General features: G+C 40.2%; 1 long non-coding RNA gene across 1 annotated transcript; it reads right to left on the bottom strand.

Moving 5' to 3' along the window:
* Positions 1-917: 917 nt before the first annotated feature.
* On the bottom strand, positions 918-4,157 carry LOC107986888 (uncharacterized). The gene is made up of 3 exons (XR_001745713.3): positions 4,056-4,157; positions 1,813-1,928; positions 918-1,699 (listed from the first exon to the last, which is right to left on the bottom strand). It is a non-coding gene; the product is annotated as an uncharacterized LOC107986888 (long non-coding RNA).
* Positions 4,158-7,695: the final 3,538 nt, after the last annotated feature.

The raw sequence follows: 7,695 nt of genomic DNA, 5'->3' as shown, positions 1-7,695 counted from the left end.
TAATGATTCATGAGTGTGTGTGAAAAATGCCAAGTCAATTGAACAAACAAAAAACGCTACAGATAATCCAAAGAGTAGTCTCTGCTGTGAAAGAGCTTTAAAATAAGTGAGTTTTGAAAGATGACTGGGGTTTATAGAAAGCAATGGAAGTGAGATTGAAGTGAGCGAAGGCGTGGTTGGTAGAAGAATGAGCCAGGTGGGTTTACAAATACAGAAGACAGCAGGCTGCTTGGAGAAAGGTTTTAATTAAGAATCTGTAAGCAATAAGCCTCAGAACGTGAATGAAGGCCAGATTATGGAGTGCTCTGAACACAGTTCTTACGAGTTTGAACTTTGTTTTACAAGAAATAAGCATGTATGTTAGGATGTCATTGGCTACACTCAAGCTAGCTTAAAGGGGAAAATAAATTTTTTTAGAGATTTTGGGATATCTTTCACATGGTAATTATCTTATATATAGTGGTGATATTGAATTGAACTTTTAGAATAACCTTCCTTTAAGATGGACGGAAAAAATAAAGAGAAGAACAGAAATGATGAGGAGAAAGAGGGTGTAGTTGCAAGAACATTTACTAGATGGCCTTGAGACAGTAAAAGAAAAATTGAGAACATTCTAGTTTAATAGTCCTTTGCCCCAGCCCTCATCCTTGGGGGGTGCCTTGATCAGTGCCAAAGGCATGTTTGTGACTAGAAGAAGAACTGTGTTTTCATGGCTGTGTTTTCTCCGTGCCTCTTCAACCAGGAACGAAGAGTTTCCTATTGAAGGAAAGCATTTTCACAGGAGCAGCTTTTTCCTTTTCCTCTCCACTGTGTTTTATTGTCAGCACACAAAATACTTTCATCATGTCTCATTCTGCACAAAGCAGGACAAAGTCAGGCACTGTTACTACTTTTAAAAACCAAGAGAGCCAACGATATGTTGTATGATAGATAGTATAGTTTTTATAGTGATTTTCTTTAATTGTACATATTGATCTTATTTTGAAAATTAATTCAGAGGGCAAACTCTACTCAGTCTATGATATTATACTAAACAGCTGTAAAAGCATAAAGTGTTTAAAAAGCTGGGGTTATAGGTCAGACAAAACCAACATTACTTTATTTGTTCAAAGAAGATACAAAAAAAAAAAACCATTGGCATGGACACAGATCTAATAGAGAAGCAGTTTGGGAAACACAAATGAGCAAATTTTCTCATTTTTTCTTTAAAAAAACAATTATGAACTTGCACAATTTTATAGAAAGAAAAAATGGAACATTGAGGTACAATGACTTATTTCAATTTAATTCACATTATTCCAATTTTACTTCCAATCTTTTCATGTACATCTATAAACTTTACATTGTTATATATAAGTACCCCTAGGATGTTGTCTTCTGGGATTTTTTTTTTTAATTTTTAAATTTTGTATTACCATGTCCATATATTGACATTAGTTAGCACGTTTGTCATTTTAATGTCCCTATAGCATCCCAGCATGTTGACATAACCCCTGTGTCCTTGGAAGCTGGAGAGTGAGTTAGGGGGCTTTAAGAGTTATAAGGCTTTTCTCCAACTATAAATTAACCTGGTGTGTATGCAAGTTCAGCAAAGTAAAGCACTATACAGGAGGAGCCAGGAAAGTCTTTAGATGAAAGATTATGTTATGGTTATTTTCAGTAAGATCTTCGTGACTTCTGCTTGTAAGCTGTTATTTACCTTAAAAAAAAACACAGGGGCAAGATAATAATTTATTGAACAGTGCTGGAAAAGCAGAATGAAGAAATATGTGTGCCAGTTGTTGAGTTATTATCTATTAGCTTGAAACTCACCCTTTTACACTCTGCTTTGTGACACTGGGGCTCAAACTCTGCAGACCACATTTCTGCTTTGCCAACAGCTCCATGTTTGACTCTGTCCATAAGGGTACGTGGGAAGGTCTACAAATCTGGAAGGGAAAAAGGGATTTCTTTCTTCCAACTTGCATCCTATGACTTTCTATCTACTTCCTGTCAGCTTTCTGTTCCTGTGAACGTTTTTTCAACAATACTTCCTCACCATAGTGGCAGTAGTTCCTTTCTGAAGTATCTGGATCCAGTTTGCTTGCAGAACCAGCTCTATTTTCTCTTCTCATCCCCATCCCAAGCTCAAAGATCCCACTATCAGCTGAGCAGTGCTCCTTCTCAGAGGTCTGGATTTCCATTTCTCATTTTTCTTTGCTTCATTTTTACTCTTCTTTGCTACCTTCTATTAAAATGAAAACTGTTTTAAATCCCCTTATCTTTTGCTCTACTGGTATTGATGTTGTAGATTCAATTTCTGTTCTTTTCATCATTGTGCTGAATTTTCAACATAAATAATTATGAATTTCTCTAATACAATATACAGTTATTTAGAATGTCTCTCTTCCTTAAGAATATGATAAAGACTTTAGCATACTTTAATTGCCCAATAAAACCCTGCATTTGCTTTGTCATTTTTTTTTACAATTTTTTACAAAAAATAGTTATTACTATCTTTCCAAATTAATTAAATTTATCAAAATTATCACTTTCTTTGCTCACCTTTGCTTCTTATAGCCCATCCTTTTCTCTGAGAGGTTGTGTTTCTACTAAGAGTGTTAGAATTTTATATTATTCTTATAATTGTATAGTCTGAAAAATGTCCTGATTGTAAGCTCACTTTTGAATGGTTATATAACTGGGTATAAAATTCTAAGTAAACACTTTTCGACAACTTAGTTAATTCTGTTTTGTTTTGTTTTTTGAGACAGGGGCTCGCTCTGTCACCCAGGCTGGAGTGCAGTGGCACCAACTCAGCTCACTACAACCTCTGCCTCCTGGGTTCAAGCAATTCTCATGCTCCAGCTACCCAAGTAGCTGGGATTACAGGGTGCGCCACCATGCCCAGCTGATTTTTGTATTTTGGGTACAGATGGGGTTTCACCATGTTGGCCAGGTTGGTCTCGAACTCTGGACCTCAAGTGATTTGCCCACCTCAGCCTCCCAAAGTGCTGGGATTACAAGGCGTGAGCCACTGCGCCTGGCCAACTTAGTTTATTCTAAGTTTACATTCTGAAGATATTCTTACTTTGTTTCCTGGCTTCTATTCCTCCATGAGAAATTTTCTGTTACTAATTACTATCACCTATCAGAAATTTTCCTTTTTTGCCTCCCTGGTAACTTCTAAGATTTTCTCTTTATTCTGAATGTCCTACACTTTCATCCTTGTGTGTTAAGGAATGAATTTATTTTTAATTAGCCTGCAAATTATTCAGAGTATACTCTCAATCCAAGAGTTATGCTTATTTCTTCAGTTTAGAAAATTTTTAGTCACTATTGTTTCATTTACTTTTTCTCTGCTGGTTCTTCAAAATTATTCTCTGGGAGCTCATACTGAGTAGGATAGGTTGCCAAGGAAGTGACCATGTCCTTTGGACACAACAACCGTGGTGACTGTACAATCAACACAATCAGCCTCAGCATTCACATTGTAATTGAGCTCACCCAAAGAAAGCTATCTTCAGTAGAAACTTTCCCCTGTTGAGATCATGCACACATTGATTTTACCTGTCCTCACACTGACCCTTTGCTCATTATAATAAAAAAAAAAAACACATCCCTAGGTAGAGATTTAAGATGCTAATGGAACATGTGACATATAAACAAGCATCTACAGCTTCTGCGCATGTGCACCCCAAAGACCACCCAAAACGTGCTTACCAGTGGCACCTCTTCCCACCTCCTTATGAATCATGTAAAACTTCCATAAAGGGAGTTTCTCCAGCAATATTTAGCACTGTCTCGTCCTTATGAGCAGCCTGCCCTAAACTTGCTCTCTTTTGGATATACTGTCTATTCTGCACTTAACTTTCAAAATATTTTCTTTTTCCTTTTACAATAAATTATGCTACGTCTCCTTTGCTGTGTGTCTCTTATTTAAATTGTTTCAAACTACAAAAAGAAGAACTGAGGTCTCTCACAACAGCTGTCAACATTTATGGTACCATGACACAGAGAAAGGTTTTTCCGCTTCATTGACTTCAGTTTCCCTTCCCCCGAGATGAGTAGATTACCTGGTTAACTGTCACCGCTCTTTCCAGAGCTGTTTCAGTGAAGTTCTGCCGGGGAAGTTTTAAGTCACCTATATTCTTTCTGTGAATATATGCGCTGCTCTCCTTTTGGCTGCAGCTTCTGTGCTATTTATACTAACCACATGGCACCATGGGTTGCTCTCAACATTAAATATTCGGGTTATTTTCTTGCTTAGTTTCACATCTTTCTGGCCTCATTTCAGACTCAGCTCGTTTGCTGCCTCTCCAGCAATACTCGCCCGCCACCTAGTGGCTATTTTGATTTATTTTCTACTCAGTTTTTCTGTTTACAATATTTTCTGTTCTGAGGGACACGTTAAAACCACCCCATCCCTCTAGGCTTTATGCATTTTCTTTTTTTTTCTTTTTTTTTTTTAATTATACTTTAAGTTTTAGGGTACATGTGCACATTGTGCAGGTTAGTTACATATGTATACATGTGCCATGCTGGTGCCTGCACCCACTAACTCGTCATCTAGCATTAGGTATATCTCCCAATGCTATCCCTCCCCCCTACCCCCACCCCACAACAGCCCCCAGAGTGTGATATTCCCCTTCCTGTGTCCATGTGATCTCATTGTTCAATTCCCACCTATGAGTGAGAATATGCGGTGTTTGGTTTTTTGTTCTTGCGATAGTTTACTGAGAATGATGATTTCCAGTTTCATCCATGTCCCTACAAAGGACATGAACTCATCATTTTTTATGGCTGCATAGTATTCCATGGTGTATATGTGCCACATTTTCTTAATCCAGTCTATCATTGTTGGACATTTTCAAACTCCTTGAGATTGTCTTTCAACAGGCTTTATTTGCTGAACAAAAGATGCACAGTCACGAGGAAGCCCTTTTGTGGGGATTGTATCCCGGCATTCCAGGTATTATAATTAGGCATCACAAATGGCAAACCAGTGACGTAGGGAAGGAAAGGCTTGGAAGAGAGACATCTGGGGCCCCCAGCCGGCAATGGGGGCCACTATGGTCAGGTCTAAAGACTTCCAGCGCCAGTGAGACCTAGGACGGTGCATGGAAAATGCCAGTGACCTCCTAGGGCCTTGATTTAATTGAGGTTCAAGGGGCACCCTCAACCCATTGTGGTCCATGTTGGCTCATGGGTACGCCCATGACCTCCTAGACGTTAGTATATGTTTCTGTCATCGTGGGATTCTTTCAGCACTACGGGAGCCACCGCTTCTACTCTCACTGAAACACCCCTGGGATGTATATTTAAAAACTAGAACATCTTTTGGCTAGATGAGCTAAAAAAAAAAAAAAAAGAAAAAACTTATCTTTTTTTATAACACTGTTTGGCCTGGGTACAAGTTAGCAGACAATGAAAAATGGCTGGAGAATGAAACCATGAACTTCAACACCAACCTATAGCTAGATCTTTTCTATAGAAATTAGGGAAAGTGGTCTAAGGTACCCTATTACAGGCCTTTATGGCCTGAAAACAGAACCCAGTTCTATGCAGCATCTGTGGGCTAAAACCCAGTAAGCCAGAAAGCCACCCAGACCCATTAGAAGATCCTCTTTTTTTTAAGGAGAAGGGATACTAGGCCCCATGGCCCAACTCCAGCTCCAGACAGGGGTTCTCAGAGGCCCACACCTCCTTCCGAGTCCCCAGCATCCCCTATGCTATCAGAGTCTTCTGTAGAATCTAATCCCGTTTCACCTCCCGCTTATGCTCATCTCTATCCTCCTTTGCCAAGTTCAACTGGGACTAACCCAGCTGGAGTGACACATAGTGGGACTTCATACCATCCAGGAACAGAGAAATGGCTCCCCTTCTGGGAATTCCCCAATGGAGAAGAGACTATCAGAGTACATGTTCCATTCTCAATAAATGTTCTAACCCAACGCAAGCAGAAACTCAGACAGTATTCAGAGGATCCCAGTGTATTACTGAGGCCCCCGGGCTCTAACTTTTGCCTTTGACTTAACTAGGAATGATATACAAGTTGTTCTTTCTACTTGTTGTATTCCAGATTAAAAACAGGGAATCTGGCTAGCCCATCATGGATACTCAGATAGCGGGGACACTGACCAGCCTGCTACCCGTGAAGTGGGAGCTCTTGCTGTTCCCTCCCAGGACTCAGATTGAGATTACAGCAGGTCCAGAAGAATAAAACAATAGAGACTACATGGTCCAGTGCCTCCTGGCAGGAATGAGACAATGTATTAAAAATCCTGTTGACTGTGAAAAGCTCAAAGAAGTCACAAAGGAAAAAGATGAAAACCCTGCCCTCTTTCAAGGACACTTAATACAGGCCTTCCAAAAGTTCACCAACATAGACCCTAGGTCTGCTGAAGGCCAAGTTTTACTGGGGCAACACTTTATCAGCCAGTCTGCCCGAGATATCAGGGAAAAATTTTACAAAAATTACAATTAGGGCCACAAACACCTATGCTGCAACTAATAGAAGTGGCTTTTGAAGTGTTTAATAATAGAGATCTGTCTGAGGAGAAAGACAGAGTCCAGCATGGGAACAGGCGCAATAAGGCCCAGACTTACATAGTAGCTGTTGCTGTCAGTAGTGTTCTACAACCTCATGGTCACCCCTCGGAACCTCAAAGCTTGGAAGCTGGTCAATGACGAGGTGACAACAATCAAAGGGCCTGCTTTAAATGCAAGCAGTCTGGGCACTGGGCTAGAGAGTGCACCTGGCTACCCCCCGGGGTCATGCCTCATCTGTAAACAAGCCACTGTAAACATGCCACTGGAGAGTGGATTGTTTCCCGAAGGAAAAGGGGATGTCCTCCCTTGAGATGGCACTGACCCAAGACTGAGGAAGCCCGGGATCTAGATGGCCCCCTCCAAAAAGAACATTCCAGTCACCAAACTGGAATTCTGGGTGACCCTTGCCGTGGCAGGTACAAATATTGATTTTTAAAAATTGATACCAGGGCCTCTTACTCTATCCTAACTTCTCATGATGGACATTAACCTCCACAAATTGTAACCAGAGTCAATGGGCAACACCATTCTTACTATTTCACTCCCTTACTCACATGTCAGTATAGAAATCACTTTTTTTTGCTTTCCTGGGTGTCCTACCCCACTCTTAGGCAGATACTTATTAAATATGGGAGTCCTTATATCACTCAAAGGCACCAGTTGCTACCAAATGGTCCTCACTGCTGGACCAACAGATTACCTACCTGTGTCAATCTTAGAACAAGTAAATACGGCCATCTGGCATGATGGAGTACCTGGAAGAGCCCTTCAGGCTCAACCAGCGGTCATTAAACTGTGGGACCCCAATAGGTACCTCAATAAAAAACAATATTCCTCAAAATTAAAAACAAACCAAAAGATTAGAGCCCTTGATTTCTAAATTCTTTCAGCATGATTTACCACTGCCATGTCAATCACCTCGTAATACTCCTATTGTACCAGCCATAAAACCAAACCAAAAATATCTACCAGTGCTGGACTTGAGATTCATAAACCTGGATTCCAGGATTTGTACTAATGGCTTGTCCTCTATATGAGGCCACTAAAGGGCCTCACACTGAGCCCTTACAATGAAAAAAAAAAAAAAAAAAAAAACCCAGGGGACCCTTATTGAGACTCCTGCTCTGGGAATTCCAAACTCACAAAAGCCACTCACCTTATATG

This window comes from Homo sapiens, chromosome 8 (genome assembly GCF_000001405.40).
Source record: "Homo sapiens chromosome 8, GRCh38.p14 Primary Assembly".
Classification (NCBI taxonomy): Eukaryota; Metazoa; Chordata; class Mammalia; order Primates; family Hominidae; genus Homo; species Homo sapiens.
Note: the sequence above shows the minus strand (reverse complement) of the source record. Positions and strands in the feature narration are given on the sequence as shown.